Raw genomic sequence first — 19,323 nt, forward strand, 5'->3', positions numbered from 1 at the left:
TCTGCTTCAGCCTCCCAAAGTGCTGGGATTACAGGCATGAGCCACCACATCTGGCCTGAAATAATATCTTTCAAATTCTTTGTAGAATTTGTTTTTTCCTGATTTCTGCACATAGGATAAAAAAAAATCATGTACTAGGATTTCGAGAGAAGCAATGGGTAATCTAAAAAGATGAAAAGAGCAACCACGTCAATCCCACAGCTACTGCTAGATTTCATAGGAAAGGTAGCTGGCCCAGTTTGGAGCTAGGGGAAATTTCAAACACATGAAGAAATGAGAAGCCAAGAAATGCCATCACGCATGAATGCTTCATGGCACCCATGATATCCCTGCTTAGGAGGTAATGGTATAGATGACTAGATGACAAGGACAAAGATGAGAGGTGCGAAGTTGTCCAAGTCCAACAGCTCAACTGAACTTTCCTAAGTGGAATTGTTAAAAAGTGGTAAATTTAAAAACTTCCCCTGGCTCACGTGGTGGCTCACGCTTGTAATCCCAGCACTTGGGGAGGCTGAGGTGGGTGGATCATTTGAGGTCGGGTTTTGAGACTAGCCTGGCCAACATGGTAAAACCCCGACTCTACTAAAAATACAAAAATTAGCTGGGCATGGTGGTGGGCACCTGTAATCCCAGCTACTTGAGAGGCTGAGGCAGGGGAATCACTTGAAGCCAGGAGGTGGAGGTTGCAGTGAGCCGAGGTCACACCATTATACTCCAGCCTGGGCAACAGAGGGAGACTCGTCTTGAGGGTGAGAAAAGAAAAAAAAAAGAAAAAAGCTTCCTCCAATTTATACCGAAAATTCTCTGTTCAGGACTAAGTGGCATAGAGAATGTTAAATGTGCCTAGATATCTTCATAACTCATATATTTTCTGTTTTCTACATATCTTGAAAGGCAGTGCCAAATGACGTGTAATTATCTAGGTGGTAAAACTGAAACATACTTCCTCTTCCCTTGAATATCAAAAAGCATTGTGGTATTAGTACTTTTATCTTGGATCATTGTTCAGAAGGAGGTTCAGCCCCCAGACAACCACATTTTTACTGTCATGAATGGCAAGACAAAATGTAGAGCTCAACTTACCCAAAGGAAAAAAGGCTCAAAAGACAAATTATGGCACAACTTAGCAGCCAAATTCTTACCAAGTACAGACTTTTGACATACTGATCTCTCTCCAGTTGCAAGTGGGAACATGCACTTTGAATGATGTCATTCAAAATTACCCTGCCCAGACACACTTTTCATTGATTCTCTTGGAGGGCAGTTCTAAGAGATTCTCTGGGGCTTTCTCTGCATCATGAGACGCAGTGCAGTTGTGCCCTTCACCTTCTGGCAGTTTGTCACCTCGTCCCTATGACCTCAGAGGAACTTTGTCTCAGGCCAATTGTTTGTTCCTTGGGCTCTTTCATTTCCCCTAAAAATCATTTGCTGCCCCTCTAAATGGCCTACATCTCCATCTATCTCCCTCTCCCCTCAGAAGAGGGTGCTCTTTAAGCATCAACCATCCAGCCCTTCTAGCAGTCTCATTTTTCAGCTGGTTCCCATGTTTATGCCTGTTCTATGTTTTTCTTTTCCTGTTAAGCTGTCTTTTCAGCTCATTTCTGCAGTGAATCTTCAGAGACGAGACTGGAAGCTTTCCTTCCACCCATACGATAGAACTATAAAGCAGAAGAGTTTAGAAAGAATTTCCTATTTAAGTGACGAAACCTCATACTCCATTTGTGACAAATAGCACAAAGGTTAAAAAAACTTATTTTTGACCAAAAGCTCTGTTGACATTCTATTAAACAAACACTGACCTATTTAATTTTCATAATGTAAATGGCAGATATTTTCATAATTCTTATGCTAATAAATCATTTCCCTGATTTTTTGGGTAAAACCACATATTCATAATGAAGTCCAGAAATGTGAATTGTTTTATATAATTTATTCTTATTTGTGATTACAAGTATACCTCTACAGAAAGTTAGTACACTCACCCAAAGGTAAACTGTCCAGAGGGTAAGGACAACTTTATAACTTCTCGGAAATGCAATAATGATACGTAACCAAGGACTTCCACCAAAGTCAGTCCCACGATGATGATGGTCAGCCAGAGTATTGATAACCTGGAATAATAATAGTTGAAATAATGAAAAGGTCAATGACACTGACAATATTTCACTCAGAAAGAATCATCCTTAGAAACCGTCAACCTCCTCCAAAAGGTAACCACATCCCTCAGATATCACCGTGGGATTCCACTGTTACAAAAAAGAACAGAAGTTAGAAGTCACATGTTTTTCAGATGGCTGGTAGTGTTTTTAGGCATTGCAAATGTGGGGTGTTGTCTTTCTTGGTATAAAGCAGGGATATCCAATCTTTTGACTTCCCTGCCTATATTAAAAGAAGCAAAGTTGTCTTGAGCCACACATAACATACACTAACACTAACAATAGCTGATGATCTAAAAAAAACCTCTTTTTGTTTTTGAGACAGAGTTCCGCTCCACTCAGTCGCCCAGGCTGGAGTGCAGTGGTGCAATCTCGGCTCACTGCAACCTCCAGCTCCTGGGCTCAAGCCATTCTCCTCCCTCAGCCTCCCGAGTAGCTGAGATTACAGGTCTCTGCCACCATGCCCGACTAATTTTTGTATTTTTAGTAGAGATGAGGTTTCACCATGTTGGCCAGTCTGGCCTTGAACTCCTGACAGGTGATCTGCCTGCCTCAGCCTCCCAAAGTGCTGGGATTACAGGTGTGAGCCACCGTGCCCGGCCATTTTTTTGTTTTTGTTTTTGTTTGTTGTTTTTGAGATGGGGTCTCACTCTGTCACCCAGGCTGGAGTGCAGTGGTGTGCTCTCGGCTCACTGCAACCTCTGCCTCTCAGGTTCAAGTGATTCTTCTGCCTCAGCCTCCTGAGTAGCTGGGAGTACAGGTGCCTGACAGTGCACTCAGCAAATTTTTGTATTTTCTGTGGAGATGGGGTTTTGCCATGTTGGCCAGGGTGGTCTCAAACTCCTGACCTCAGGTAATCTGCCCGCCTCAGCCTCCCAAAGTGCTGGGATTACAGGCATGAGCCACTGTACCTGGCCAAAATCTCCTAATGTTTTAAGAAAGTTTACAAATTTGTGTTGAACTGCATTCAAAACTGTCCTGGGCCACATGCAGCCCGTCACTCATGGGTAAGACAAGCTAAGTATAAAGTAATTATCTTTTCTTTTTTGTTTTGAGACAAAGTTTTGCTCTGTCACCCAGGCTAGATTGCAGTGGCATGATCTCAGCTCACTGCAACCTCCGCCTCCCGGGTTCAAGCGATTCTCCTGCCTCAGCTACTGAGTAACTGGGATTACAGGCGCCTGCCACCACGCTCGGCTAATTTTTGTATTTTTAGTAGAAACAGGGTTTCACCATCTTGGCCAGGCTGGTCTCCAACTCCTGACCTCGTGATCCACCTGCCTTGGCCTCCCAAAGTGCTGGGAATACAGGTGTGAGCCACTGCACCTGGCCAGTAGTTATCTTTTCTTTAAAGTTATTTACTTGTTTTTTAAATTGATGTATAACATTGGATGCATTTATTATATATCATATGGTAAAAGAATCCCTCTAAATAATACTTCTCTCTTGGATTATATGAATCTTTGTCATTTAAATCTCAGCATAAGTAAAAAAAAAAATACAATGAAGAGATTACTTCATTCACAAATAAGTATCAAATTTTAGTGCTTAAAAATTAACAAGGTGGGCCGGGCGTGGTGGCTCACGCCTGCAATCCCAGCACTTTGGGAAGCCAAGGTGGGTGGACCACGAGATCAGGAGATTGAGACCATCCTAGCTAACACGGTGAAACCCATCTCTACTAAAAATACAAAAAATTAGCAGGGCATGGTGGCACGCGCCTATAGTTCCAGCTACTTGGGAGGCTGAGGCAGAAGAATCACTTGAACCCGGGAGGCAGAGGTTGCAGTGAGCCGAGATTGCACCACTGCACTTCAGCCTGGGTGACAGAGCGAGACTCTGTCTCAAAAAAAAAAAAAAAAAAAAAAATTACCAAGGTGGAGATCATGAAAATGGCATGAATAGTGTGGGATTTCTCTAAGATTGTTGATATTAATTCCATTAGACTCTTATGTGAGTGAAGACGAAGACTTCCCCTGAGTAAGTTCAGACAGCTTGTGATAACATTTCTACATCGATTCCTCAGGATTTAACTATATATTCTTGAAAACATCTCAATTTTAAATGTTTCTTTCAAGATGGTGAATTAAACAGAGATAGCCCTTCAACAGGTTGAACTCAGCATATGCTGAGTCTGAAATGGAAATGATGGAGTTAGAGAACCATACAACAATGGTAATGATTTCAGAAACATGGTGTTGAGCAGAACAAAGCAGACACAAAAGAGTACCTATGGCATGGCATGCATCTGTATACGCGAAATTCCAGAATAAGCAAGCTAACCTATGATAAGAAAGAGACTGGCTGGGAAGAGTGAGAGTTCACTTTCTGGGGTGACATAATAGTGTAGATCTTGGCTGGGCACGGTGGTTCACGCCTGTAATCCCAACGCTTTGGGAGGCCGAGGCAGGCGGATCACCTGAGGTCGGGAGTTCAAAACCAGCCTGACCAACATGGAGAAACCTTATCTCTACTAAAAATACAAAATTAGCTGGGAGTGGTGGCACATGTCTGTAATCCCAGCCACTCGGGAGGCTGAGGCAGGAGAATCGCTCGAACCTGGGAAGCAGAGGTTGCGGTGAGCTGATATTGCCCCATTGCACTCCAGCCTCAGCAACAAGGGAGAAACTGTCTCAAATAAATAAATAAATAAATAAAATAATGTAGATCTTGAAAGGGGGTTGGTTTATGCTGGTGTATGTACTTTCCAAAGTTAGTAAACTTACACTTAAGGTTATATATTTTGGCCAGGCGCGGTGGCTCACGCCTGTAATCCCAGCACTGGGAGGCTGAGGCAGGCGGATCACGAGGTCAAGAGATGGAGACTATCCTGGCGAACATGGTGAAACCCCGTCTCTACTAAAAATACAAAAATTAGCCAGGCGTGGTGGTCTACTAAAAATACAAAAATTAGCCAGGCGTTGTAATCTGAGCTATTCAGGAGGCTGAGGCAGGACAATTGCTTGAACCCCGGAAGCGGAGGTTGCAGTGAGCCGAGATCTTGCCACTGCACTCCAGCCTGGGCGACAGAGTGAGACTCTGTCTAAAAAAAAAAAAAAAAAAAAAAAAAAGTCATCAAACCAGATGACACAAATCAAATGACATTTCACTTTGTTTTGGTCCATTTTGTTTGTTAGAGACAAGAGTGCAGCGGGGCCATCTCGGCTCACTGCAACGTCCAGCTCCTGGGCCCAAGCGATCCTCCCACCTCAGCCTCTCCAGTAACTGGGATAACAGGTACGCACCACCAGGCCCGACTAATCTTTTTTGGAATTTTTTGTAGAGATGGGGTTTCGCTATGATGCCCTGGCTAGTCTTCAACTCCTGGACTCAAGTGATCTGCCCACCTCGGCCCCCTAAAGTGCTGGGATTACAGGCCTGAGCTGTGTAATTTCATGCCGCGTGACACAGCCCAGTAAAAAGGAAGAAACCCCGCGGGTCCAGCGTCTACTCACACAGGTGGACTGATGGCTGATAAATTCCAGCAGGAGCCAAAAGAGGAGCCAAAAGAGCATCCACAGCACCCGCATGTCCTGGTCCTTTCAGGGCGCCCTGAGGCGGCCAGGACAGAGGTGGAGGTGGCTTAGGGCAGGGGGAGGGAAGGGGACAGGGACCGGGCCGGATCTGAGTTGGGGAGGGGGAGGGGAGGGGGAGGGGAAGGGGAGAGGAAGGGGGGAAGTAAGGGAAGGGAAAGGAGGAGAAGGGGGCTGTTGGGCACCTGGAGGAGGTGGAGGAGGAGGAGGAGAAGAAGAAAGGGGTCTGGGAAAGGATCCGGTTCAAATTAAGTTCTCAAGCGCTGGTGGAAGGTTTAGCTACAGGTCACGGAGAAGATCAGGGAAGCAACAGGACACGCGGGGCAAGGGAGCGTGAGGCTTAGGGGCAATTAGAGGGAGACAAAGGTTCTGCTATCCACCAAACCTTCTTCGGTCTGGGCCCTCCCTTACCAACCCTGGGGCTTTATACTCCCTCTCCACCAATCCCTGATGACCCCGGTGGTGCCTCACAATGGACGTGCCTCACAATGGACATGCCAAGTAGCGCCCGCATCATTCCAATGACCCCTCCCCCATCTCAGTCTCCCACTCTCCTCCCAAGGACAGGTCCTCTCTGGAACCTTCACAAACCTGATTTCTGGTCCTCCCCAACCAGCTCCCTGTCCCTGCTTCTGGGCGCTCCTTCCTTCCTGAGCTCCCAGGGTTCCTCAAGGTCACTTTTGGCGACAAAACATAAAAAACAAATGATGGCAGGATGGCAGGAAGAACCTCATACCCAAGCAGAGTGCCAGGTTTTACAGCCTCCGCTCAGCCATTCATATCCTAAGCAACAAAACATCAGCAGGATGCGGAAGGTCCCGATAGTAAACCATCTCCATCACATCCATGTAGCCATCTGTCCATCAACCTGTATCTCAGGAACAAATGTACGTACATTCATTTTAAGCATGCATGGTACATTTACAAAAATTAACCTGACTTATTTTGTTCCAGCAAATCTCAATATATTTGAGAGCAATCAAATCACACAGCATGTTTCTGATCATATAACTGTGCTAGAAGTCAATGATTAAAAGCTAATTCAAAATTATTATTTGCTTGGAAATTCAAAGTGCCCTTATAAGACATAAACATAAGAAAGAATCCAAAATGAAACAAGATTGCCTTTCAACTCAATGATGAGATCATAACATGGCAATAAAATGTCTCCCTCTGGCCTGGGAATTCCTCTTTGTGGCACAAGGTTGCATGATCTCAAATCACCCCTAACCCACCTAGACATTTTAACATCCGAAACCGAGTGATGATGTCCTTATCTATATCATCTTACTGCCCGTGTGTGTGGACTTTAAATTCTGAACCCAAATGAGGGGGAGAAAACCAAGTTGACCTTCATGAATGGCCTCTCAGGGACGTCCAAGGAATCTGTGCATTTCAAGAAACAAAGTTCATCAGCTTCTCTCCTAAGGTATTTGCCCACAATACCCAGAGGGCTTGGCAGCATCATGTGTGATGGGTGGGGAGCTCCAAGCAGGTGGGCAGGACCCAGGGGCCTGGTGACCAGGACAGACCCCCACTGTCCATCACCTTTCCTGGCCCTGTCCTCAGCTAAACTTCCCACAGGCCTTCTGCCCGATCACACAGAGTGTGCCCAAACTCACTCAGGCCTCTGGCAGCTGAAAACCACTGCTTTAAATCCCTTTACCATTTACTATGACATAAGGTTATTGTAAACAGGAAATATTCTATTGATGCTACAAATGGAAAGCCAATGCCTTTACCATAAATAGAAAAACAACCCTAAGAAACAAGCAAAACAAAAACAAAACAGGGGCTGGGTGTGATGGCTCACGCCTGTAATCCCAGCACTTTGGGAGGCCGAGGTGGGCGGATCACAAGGTCAGGAGTTCCAGACCAGCCTGGCCAATATGGTGAAACCCTGTCTCTAATAAAATACAAAAATTAGCTGGGTGTGGTGGTGGGCGCCTGTAGTCCCACCTACTTGGGAGGCTGAGGCAGGAGAATAGTTTGAACCCGGGAGGCAGAGTTTGCAGTGAGCCGAGATTGCACCACTGCACTCCAGCCTAGGCGACAGAGCGAGACTCTGTCTCAAAAACAGCAACAACTACAAACAAACAAACAAAAAACAGGGTTAACAAAACTATGGAATTCAATTCTATTTGTATGCTGCAGCCATGTTCCAGCCCTAGATTTGGCTGGGCATGGTGGCTCACGCCTGTAATCCCAGCACTTTGGGAGGCTGAGGCAGGCGGATCACGAGGTTAGGAGTTCGAGACCAGACTGACCAACATGGTGAAACCCCGTCTCTACTAAAAATACAAAAATTAGCCAGGCATGGTGGCACACGCCTGTAATCCCAGCTACTCAGAAGGCTGAGGCAGGACAATCCCTTGAACCTGGGAGGCAGAGGGTGCAGTGAGCTGAGATCGCGCCATTGTACTCCAGCCTGGGCAACAAGAGCAAAACTCCGTCTTAAAATAAAAAAAAAAGCCAGGCACGGTGGCTCATGCCTGTAATCCCAGCACTTTGGGAGGCCGAGACGGGTGGATCACAAGGTCAGGAGATCGAGACCATCCTGGCTAACATGGTGAAACCCCGTCTCTACTAAAAATACAAAAAATTAGCTGGCCGTGGTGGCGGGCGCCTGTAATCCCAGCTATTTGGGAGGCCGAGGCAGGAGAATGGCGTGAACCTGGGAGGTGGAGCTGGCAGTGAGCCGAGATCGCGCCACTGCACTCCAGCCTGGGTGACAGAGCAAGACTCTGTCTCAAAAAAAAAAAAAAAAAAGAGGCAAAACTAATAGTATAATTTATAAGAGAGGAAGATTAACAAATTGGCTGTGATACTCGGTACATTACCACAAATTTTAAAACATGAGGTGAAGATTTTACCAGAAAACAGCAGAACACCAGTACTGCCTGTGATACAGATGATAAACTGGATTTTTTTTTTTTTTTTGGAGATGGAGTCTTGCTCTGTCGCCCAGGTTGGAATGCACTATTGCGGTCTCGGCTCACTGAAACCTCCACCTCCCAGGTAAGAGATTCTCCTGCTTTAAGTCCCAAGTAGCTGGGACTATAGGCGCGTGCCACCACACCCAGCTAATTTTTGTAGTTTTAGTAGAGACGGGGGTTTCACGATGTTGCCAGGCTGGTCTCAAACTCCTGACCTCGTGTGATCTGCCCACCTCAGCCTCCCAAAGTCCCGGGATTACAGTCATGAGCCACCACACCTGGCCTTAAATTTTTTATAGGCAGAGTGCGGTAGCTCACGCCTGTAATCCCAGCACTTTGGGAGGCCGAGGCGGGTGGATCACCTGAGGTCAGGAGTTTAAGACCAGCCTGACCAACATGGCAAAACCCTGTCTCTACTAAAAATACAAAAATTAGCTGGGCGTGGTGGTGCGCACCTGTAATCCCAGCTACTTGGAAGGCTGAGGCAGGAGAATCGCTTGAACCTGGGAGATGGAGTTTGCAGTAAGCAGAGATGACACAGACTCCGTGTCAAAAAAAAAAAAAAAAAAAAAAAAAAACTGGAACAGAAAACAAAACAAAACATATACAAAAGAAATAAAATACATTTAGGCCAGATGCTGTTACCTGCTGAAGCCCTCTCTGTTCAAAATGGAGATGAGGAAACCTTGGAGATGTGTTAAAGATATAATAGCCAGCCGGGCACGGTGGCTCATGCCTGTAATCCCAGCACTTTGGAAGGTTGAGGTGGGTGGATCACCTGAGGTCGGGAGTTCAAGGCCAGCCTGACCAACATGGAGAAACCCCATCTCTACTAAAAATAAAAAAAAAAAAAAATTAGCCAGGCATGGTGGAGCATGCCTGTAATCCCAGCTACTCAGGAGGCTGAGGCAGAAGAATCGCTTGAACCCGGGAGGCAGAGGTTGCGGTGGCCGAGATCACGCCATTGCACTCCAGCCTGGGCAATAAAAGCAAAACTCTGTCTGAAAAAATAAACAAACTAACAAATAAATAAATATATAAAAAGATATAATAGCCAATGAGATAGTGTGTGCTTATAGTCCCAGCTACTTGGAAGGCTGAGGCAGGGACATCCCTTGAGGCCAGGAGTTCGAGGCTGCAGTGAGCTCTGATGGCACCACTGCAGTCCAGCCTGGGCAACATAGTGAGACCGTGTTTCAAAAATAAATAAGCAGGGTGCAGTAACTCACACCTGTAATCTCAGCACTTTGGGAGGCTGGGGTGGGTGGATCACTTGAGGCCAGGAATTTGAGACCAGGCTGACCACGAAGGTAAAACCCCCATCTCTACTAAAAATACAAAAAAAATTAGCCAGGTGTGGTGGTACGTCCCTGTAGTCCTAGCTACTCAGGAGGCTGAAGCAGGAGAAACGCTTGAACCCGGGAGGTGGATGCTTCACTGAGCTGAAATCGTGCCAGTGCAATCCAGCCTGGGTGACAGAGTGAGACTCTGTCTTAAAAAAAAAACAAAAACAAAAACAAAATGCTGGAGTCATGCTGAGCATAGGGAATGTGAAGGCCCTGGATTAAGACAGGCTGAGGGAAGGACAGCTGTGCCCTCTCCTCCTTCTATTCAGCCCATGGGTTCTATGTTCTTACAGAGTGGAAGGCAGAAACCCCTGCATTATTTAAAGCATTATTCTTTCTGTCTGTCTCATTTCTGTCTCTTTCTTTCTCTGTCTCTCTCACATTCAAACATGCATAGTTGGATTTACCAAGTTAAATACAGGTATATTATGACTCCAGTGTTTGTAGCTTGTCAAACCATCCCCTCATGATTTGTTTCTTCCTGTGGCTTCTACAAAAAAAAAAAAAAGAAAAGAAAAAAAGAAAGAATGAAAGAAGAAAGAAAGAAAGGAAGGAAGGAAGGAAAGAACCCAGAGAGCTGGGCATGGTGGCTTATACCTGTAATCCCAGCACTTTGGGAGGCCAGAGCGGGCAGATCGCCTGAGGTCAGGAGTTCAAGACCAGCCTGACCAACATGTAGAAACCCTGTCTCTACTAAAAATGCAAAATTAGCCAGGCATGGTGGCACATGCCTATAATCCCAGCTACTTGGGAGGCTGAGGCAGGAGAATTGCTTGAACCCGGGAGGTGGAGGTTGTGGTGAGCCGAGATCGTACCGTTGCACTCCAGCCTGGGCAATAAAAGCTAAACTCTATCTCAAAAAAAAAAAAAAAAAAAAAAAGGTAAAAAATTAGCCAGGCGCAGTGGTGTGTGCCTTTAGTCCTAGCCACTAAGGAGGCTGAGGCTGAGGTGGGGGGATAGTTTTAGCCCAGAAGTTTGAGGCTACTGTGAGCTATGATTGTGCCACTGTACTCCAGCCTGGGCAACGGAGTGAGACCATATCTTTAAGAAAAGCAATGCATAATGAGATACTACTTCATATCCACTAGGATGACTAATACTCAAAAAGAGAATAATAAGTGGTGAGGCTATGGAGAAACAGAAACTCTCCCACATTGCCGGTAGGAAAGTAAAATGGGGCCTGCCACTTTGGAAAGCAGTTGGAAAGTTTAATAAAAATGTAAAGATAAATTGATCCAGCAATCTTATTCGTAGGTATCTCTGACTGAGAGGAATGAAAGCATATGTTTACACAAAGTAACATAAACTCGCCTCCTGAGTAGCTGAGATTACAGGCGCCCGCCACCACACCCGGCTAATTTTTGTATTTTTAGTAGAGATGGGGTTTCATCATGTTGGCCAGGCTGATCTCGAACTCCTGACCTGAGGTGTGATCCACCTGCCTCAATCTCCCAAAGTGCTGGGATTACAGGTGTGACCCACCTTGACCAGCCTAAATTCAACTATTTGAATTATATATATATATATATATGGTATATATATAAACATATATATAATATATAAAATAAAATTCAATTATATATATTTTAATTAAACAATTTTTTTTGTTCTGATGGAGTCTCACTATGATGCTCAGGCAGGTCTCAAACTCCTGGGCTCAGGATATCCTCCTGCCTCAGCCTCCCAAACTGCTGGAAGGTGTGAGCCACCATGCCCAGCCAATGGTTGAATGGTGTGTGTGTGTGTGTACATAGGTACATACACATATTTTATTTATTTATTTATTTATTTATTTATATATATATATATTTATTTATTTATTATTTATTTTTGAGAGATGGAGTCTCGCTCTGTCGCCCAGGCTGGAGTGCAGTGGCGCGATCTCGGCTCACTGCAAGCTCCACCTCCCAGGTTCACGCCATTCTCCTGCCTCAGCCTCCCGAGTAGCTAGGACTACAGGCGCACGATGCCACGCCCCGCTAATTTTTTGTACTTTTAGTAGAGACGGGGTTTCACCGTATTAGCCAGGAGGGTCTCAATCTCCTGACCTCGTGATCTGCCCACCTCGGCCTCCCAAAATGCTGGGATTACAGGCGTGAGCCACCGCTCCTGGCCACATATACATATTTTAAAGAGTGATCTTCATCAGAAATTCTAGATGAAAAAAATAAAAGTAAATATAATTTTTTAAAAAAAGAATAAGGAAATGTTTTCCCAAATGCCTCTGACAAATTACCCCTTGTGATTTATTGGCCCAAGGTGTGGCATGGGGACTGGCTTGCACTGACCGGCTTCGTCCTGGGTTCTGGAAGGGAGCAGCTGGTCATGGAAGCTGGGGCTAGCATCAGTGCCCGTGAAGCATGTGGGCTGTGGGTAGGGACCATTACCTAATCAAAAAATCAGGGGATTGCAAGAAGGTGAAAGCGGATACTAGGTGGACAACTACTAAGGTGTCAATTACACCCAAGACTGGCCACTAGATACAGACCCCTCCCCCTGCATTCTCCAGCCCGTTATCCACATCCTGTCTCCTACTTCTCTGCCCACTATGGCAAAGGGAGGCAGAGTGGGGGTGGGAAGAGTCACTGCCTAAAACATGGCTTTCCTGCAGGGTGACCAGCTGTCCTGGGACTGAGTGGTTTCCTGGGCCATGGGACTGAAGGTGCCAAAACGGGGGAAGTTCCAGGTGAACTGGGAAGGGTTGGTGACCTGGTCACCTCACCAAACAGAAATAAAGAAGCACTCCTAATGAACTGTGGATCCTGTCATCAAGCACCAATGGCTGCCGATACCACAAAGAGACAATTGGTCATTGTGCGTCTGTGAGGAAAGCACGCTCAACACCATTTTTGAAATATTTTTTGGCAAAAAGACTGAACATAAATACAAACAAGTCTGTAGATCCAAGTACCAATTCATAGGAAATACAGACTGTGGAGTGTGTAAAATGGAAACTTACTGGGCGCAGTGGCTCACACCTGTAATCCCAGCACTTTGGGAGCCCGAGGCGGATGGATCACGAGGTCAGGAGATCGAGACCATCCCGGCTAAAACGGTGAAACCCCGTCTCTACTAAAAATACAAAAAAATTAGCCGGGCGTAGTGGCGGGCGCCTGTAGTCCCAGCTACTTGGGAGGCTGAGGCAGGAGAATGGCGTGAACCCGGGAGGCAGAGCTTGCAGTGAGCCGAGATCCCGCCACTGCACTCCAGCCTGGGTGACAGAGCGAGACTCCGTCTCAAAAAAAAAAAAAAAAAAAAAAAAAAAGAAAGAAAAGAAATATTAGCTACTTCAGAGGTTTGCTGTGAGCATTGAAAAAGGCAGTGATTTGTTGGGTGTGGTGGCTCATGTCGGTAATCCTAGCACTTCGGGAGGCTGAAGTGGGTGGATTGCTTGAGGCCAGGACTTGGAGACCAGCCTGGGCAACATAGCAAGACACTGTCTCTACAAAAAATTTGAAAATTAGCTGGGTGTGGTGCCTGCCGCATGCCTGTAATCCCAGCTTCTTGTAAGGGAGGCGGCTGAGATGGGAGGATTGCTTGAGCCCAGGAGGTTGAGGCTGCTGTGAGCCATGATGCTGTGATCGGGCCACTCTACTCCAGCCTGGGCAACAGAGCTAGACCCTGTCTCAAAAAAAGAAAAAGAGAGAGAAAGGCTTTGGTAAGGGCTTAGTAAATGTCAGCCACAGTAGTAATGACAGCAATACTTGCGAAGCCTTTTCTATTTTATTACTGTGCACGTCGGTGATCTCATGCAATCAACTCAGCAACCTTGCAAAATAGGTATCATCATCTCCATTTAAAAAGCAAGAAACTGAGGCTTAGCAAGGTGAAGTTGTGTGACCAGCGCTACATAGCTGGTAGGAGGCAAAGCAGATTCCCACCCAGGCTCATGTGACACCAGGGTCCTCCTGAGATGTTAGCCTCAGTGAAGTTTTTAGCCCAGATCTTCATCTCCTCTTGCCAGGATTTCTGCTATTCAAATGCAGCCACAGGAATCCGAGAAGAACCCGGATAACTAAATCAGCAGCAGCTTATTCAGGCTGAGAAAATATACAGCAGCCCTGAGAATGCAGCTTATCTTGCTTTGGGCTTACTTTTGAGTGACAGGCTCTTTTAGCCAAGCCCTGGCCAGTCTCCTCACTTGAGCCCTGGCTCACCTGAGCCAGCCTCTCAGAGCCTTATGGAGCTGGCTGGACAGCATTGGAAGTAAAGGGCAGCCTTGCTCCCTCTTCTTTAACACCGTTTAGGATTTCTGTGTAGTTACCCAGAGCGACATTGGGTGTCACCTTTGAGTCACTTGAAGCCAGTTTCCCCCAGAGGTTGATGAATGCGGCCTTTCCCCAGAGATTCTGGTTGTCTAAGATCTATCTGCTTTGGAGATACAGTATATTCATTGCCAACACTTGTGCCCCCGACTTAACAGGAATATCTGGTTCTCATTTGTCCTCAAAGAAGAGTGTTCTCTGCAACCACATAAGCCTTGAATTTGTTTTTTAATTATTATTTTTTATGTTTTATTTTTTCCGAGATGGAGTCTCGCTCTGTCACCCAGGCTGCAGTGCAGTGGCATGATCTTGGCTCATTGTAGCCACCTCCCGGGTTCAAGGGATTCTCCTGCCTCAGCCTACTGAGTAGGTGGGATTACAGACACCTGCCACCACCCCTGGCTAATTTTTATATTTTTAGTAGTAGTGATGGGGTTTCGTCCTGTTGGCTGGGCTTGTCTTGAACTCCTGACCTCAGGTGATCTGCCCACCTCAGCCTCCCAAGGTGCTGGGATTACAGGCATGAGCCACCACGCCTAGCCTAATTAATTTTTTTCTAAGAGATAGGGTCTTATTATGTTGCCCAGACTGGTCTCGAACTCATGGGCTCAAGCAATCCTCTTGCTGCAGCCCCCCAAAATGCTGAGGTTATAGGCCTGAACCACCATGCCCGCTAAGCCTTGAATTTGAAGATGGGCTTCATGCCTGATGACTTTGCAAATGACTTCTCTTCTGAGGAAAGGAGGACGCTAACATAAGGACGAGAGAGAGTTTATGCAAAGTCCCTACCAACTCAGAGCCCTTTTCTCCCAATGTTCTTTGCACTCTGCCCACACATCTGTTTCCAAGCCTGGCTGTGAATAACAGTGAACAACTTGGGGGCCAGGACTCTTTTCTACCGCTCCCTCCCTCCTCTCATCCTCCCTTCCTTCCTTCTCCCTTCCAGCCCATAAATATTTACCAAGTAGATATCATGTGTCAGACACTGGGAACATAACAGAGAACAAAACAAAAGTTCTCTTTCTTCGTGGAATTTACATTAAAACTTCTTATTTCTCTGTATGTTCTCAGCATCTAACTGAGAAGGTGCTGAGAACATACAGAGAAGTAAGACATTGGATGGCTTGGCTAACACTCTTCTTTCTAGTTTTTCCTATGCATATACTAACATATATACATGATTTTTTTGCATGTAAAATATGTTTTATTGTTCTTTAAAAGGATTCAGGGTTTAGTTTTAAATCAGGCTGCACACCTTTCAAATCAATTTGACATCTCTCTCACTATGTCAAACTGGCTTCAGTTAGCAATACCTCATTAAATCTAAAAGAAAAAAAATTCTTTTAAGAAAATTCAGTTTCGAGAAAAATTAACATTACTCGGCCGGGCGCAGTGGCTCATGCCTGTAATCCCAGCACTTTGAGAGGCCGAGGCGGGTGGATCACAAGGTCAGGAGATCGAGACCATCCTGGCTAACACGGTGAAACCCCGTCTCTACTAAAAAATATATAAAAAAAAAAATTAGCCGGGCATAGTGGCGGGCACCTGTAGTCCCAGCTACTCGGGAGGCTGAGGCAGGAGAATGGCGTGAACCTGGGAAGCGGAGCTTGCAGTGAGCCGAGATCATGCCACTGCACTCCAGCCTGGGCGACAGACAAGACTGTCTCAAAAAAAAAAAAAAAAAGAAAGAAAAGAAAAATTAACATTACTCAGAATTCAAAACAAAGTGAGGGCTAATATTTCATGGTTCTTTATACATCCTTCTCCTCAATACAGAACCAGGAATGTAGCAGGCACTGGCACTGATACAGATGGACACTGCACATACACATACACACACACACACACACACACACACACACACACACACACACCCAGCCCCCAAACAACAAAATTCAGAGTATGTCAAAGGGAAAAGGTTTTTTATGGTATTGATAGAAACCCCTGGAGTAGGCCAGGTGCGGTGGCTCACGCCTGTAATCCCAGCACTTTGGGAGGCCGAGGCGGGCGGATGATGAGGTCAGGAGATCAAGACCATCCTGGCTAACAGGTTGAAACCCCGTCTCTACTAAAAAATACAAAGAGGCTGGGCGCGGTGGCTCACGCCTGTAATCCCAGCACTTTGGGAGGCCGAGGCGGGCGGACCACAAGGTCAGGAGATCGAGACCATTCTGATTAACACGGTGAAACCCCGACTCTACTAAAAATACGAAAAATTAGCCGGGCGTAGTGGCGGGCGCCTGTAGTCCCAGCTACTTGGGAGGCTGAGGCAGGAGAATGGCGTGAACCCAGGAGGCGGCGCTTGCAGTGAGCCAAGCCATTGCACTCCAGCCTGGGCGACAGAGTGAGACTCTGCCTCAAAAAAAAAAACAAAAACAAAACAAAAAAAAAAACAAAGAAAAAAATTAGCTGGGTGTGGTGGCGGGCGTCTGTAGTCCCAGCTACTCGGGAGGCTAAGGCAGGAGAATGGTGTGAACCGGGGAGGTGGAGCTTGAAGTGAGCAGAGATCGCGCCACTGCACTCCAGCCTGGATGATAGAGCAAGACTCCGTCTCAAAAATAAAAAATAAAAATAAATAAAAAAAGAAACCCCTGGAGTCAACAGTCTATCTTAGCAGGTATGCCGTTTTGATCTTGAATCTATATGAAAGAATCTGTTGTCATGTACATGATATTTACATTTCAAATGGAAATAGGACCCACCTTAACAATATTCGATGACTAACCCCTACACCCGAAACTTAGTAGTGTACTACGGCCATCTTTCTTTCTCTTTTTTTTTTTTTTTTTGAGACAGAGTCTTGCTCTGTCACCCAGGCTGAAGTGCAGTGGCACAATCTCGGCTCACTGCAACCTCTGCCTCCAGGATTCAAGCGATTCTCCTTCCTCAGCCTCCTGAGTAGTTGGGACTACAGGCACGTGCCACCATGCCTGGCTAATTTTTGCATTTTTTAGTAGAGATAGGGTTTTGCAATGTTGGCCAGGCTGGTCTCGAATGCCTGACCTCAGGTAATCCACCCGCCTCGGCCTCCCAAAGTGCTGGGATTACAGGTGTCAGCCACCGTGCCTGGCCCTTATCGCCATCTTTCTTTGTTAGAACATAAAAATCTACTTCAATGTTTACATGTGCCCAGATGCTATTTGGGATCTCTCTGCCCCTTGGATTCTAAAAAGACTGACTTGAACCCCAAGTGTATTCCCTGTGGATTCTCAAGGTCAAGAGCACTAGAGTGCTCATGTTCTCATGGTCGCTTCTGGTCCCTGTTCAGGTCTCTGCTGAATTCATTCCATCAAATTTATTTAACCATTTGACGGACTTGGAGGACTTCAGTGCTGCATTGAAAACCCTAATTCATTCTGTATTTTTTTTCAAGGTGGAGTCTCACTTTGTTGCTCAGCCTGGAGTGCAGTGGCGCAATGTTGGCTCACTGCAACCTCCGCTTCCTGGGTTCAAGTGATTCTCCTGCCTCAGCCTCACAAGTAGCTGGGATTACAGGCACCTGCCACCACGCCCGGCTAATTTTTGGGTTTTTTGTTTGTTTGTTTTTGGTTTTGTTTTTGTTTTCTTGAGACGGAGTCTTGCTCTGTTGCTCAGGGTGGAGTGCAGTGGAGCAATCTTGGCTCACTGCAACCTCCGCCTCCCAGGTTCCCAGGTTCAAGCGATTCTCCTGCCTCAGCCTCTCGAGTAGCTGAGACTACAGGTGCATGCCACCATGCCTGGTTAACTTTTTGTATTTTTAATAGAGACGGAGTTTCCCCATGTTAGCCAGGATGGTCTCAATCTCCTGACCTCGTGATTCACCCACCTTGGCTTCTCAAAGTGCCAGGATTACAGGCATGAGCCACTGTGCCTGGCCTGAGATACAACTATTTTTCTTAGTTTATTTTTTGCTTTCAGATCATCCTTTTATTTACTTTAATTTTTTTTTTTTTTTTTTTTTGAGACGGAGCCTTTCTCTGTGGTCTGGGCTGGAATGCAGTGGCACGATTCTCCTGCCTCAACCTCCTGAGTAGCTGGGATTACAGGCGCACACTAACATGCCTGGCTAATTTTTGTATTTTTAGTAGAGACGGGATTTCACCACGTTGGCCAGGCTAGTCTCCAACTCCTGACCTCAAGTGATTTGCCCGCCTTGGCCTCCCAAAGTCCTGGGATTACAGGCATGAGCCACCACGCCCAGCCTCATATCATCTTTTTTTGGTAAACAGTGCCTAGCATTCTATTGAATAGGCATACTATAATTTTAAAATTATAGTATAAATGTTAAGCAGTCTTTTATTAATAGGCATTTTGGTTATTTCCAATTTTTTTTTGCAGTTAAAAACCCAGCTCTTTCTAGTAATCTGCTTTGTATCTCTTTCATGCAAAATTCCTAAACGTGGAATTGCTTGGTTAAAAAATATTAATTTTAGGCCAGGCATGGTGGCTAATGCCTGTAATCCCAACAGTTTGGGAGAGTGAGGTGGGAGGATCACTTGAGACCAGAAGTTTGAGACCAGCCTGGGCAATGTAGCGAGACCCCATCTCTGAAAAAAAATTAGCCGGTCGTGGTTGCAAGCCTATAATCCCAGCTACTGGGGAGGCTGAGGCAGAAGAATCACTTGAACCCAGGAGTTTAAGGTTACAGTGAGTTATGATTGCACCACTGCACTCCAGCCTGGGTGACAGAGTAAGACTCTGTCTTTAAAAAAAAAAAAAAGAAAGAAAAAAAAGAATGTTAACTTTAAAAAGACGCTTTTATGTATAATTGAGAAATAAAATTTTTTTTAAGAAGAAAAAAGACTCGATACATATTGAGTATTGGATATTATATTTAAAATAACTTTTTGCTAGGCTGGCTGTGGTGGCTCACGCCTCTAATCCCAGCACTTTGGGAGGCCGAGGCGGTAGGATCACGAGGTCAGGAGATCAAGACCATCCTGGCTAACACGGTGAAACCCTATCTCTACTAAAAATACAAAAAAATTAGCCAGGTGTGGTGGCAGGAGCCTGTAGTCCCAGCTACTCGGGAGGCTGAGGCAGGAGAATGGTGTGAACCCGGGAGGCAGAGCTTGCAGTGAGCTGAGATCACACCACTGCACTCCAGC

At 45.8% G+C, this 19,323-nt stretch overlaps 1 protein-coding gene across 10 annotated transcripts in view; it reads right to left on the reverse strand.

The window, feature by feature from the left end:
- NPIPB2 (nuclear pore complex interacting protein family member B2) overlaps nucleotides 1-19,323 on the reverse strand; it is a 49,381-nt gene that overhangs the window by 8,295 nt on the left and 21,763 nt on the right. For 6 of the 10 annotated variants that reach the window (XM_047434580.1, NM_001355514.1, NM_001395853.1 and 3 more), the window contains one exon: nucleotides 1,983-2,111. Coding sequence is in view for 3 of the 10 variants with exons in the window: in XM_047434579.1 (XP_047290535.1) it covers nucleotides 1,983-2,111; nucleotides 6,426-6,488 (192 nt within the window). In the remaining 7 variants the exon portion in view is untranslated. Of the gene's footprint in view, nucleotides 1-1,982; nucleotides 2,112-6,280; nucleotides 6,558-19,323 lie in introns of those variants that run through there. The other 4 variants (XM_047434579.1, XM_047434581.1, XM_024450431.1 and 1 more) reach the window with 3 other exon arrangements.

This window comes from Homo sapiens, chromosome 16 (assembly GCF_000001405.40).
Source record: "Homo sapiens chromosome 16, GRCh38.p14 Primary Assembly".
In the NCBI taxonomy this organism is placed as follows: Eukaryota; Metazoa; Chordata; class Mammalia; order Primates; family Hominidae; genus Homo; species Homo sapiens.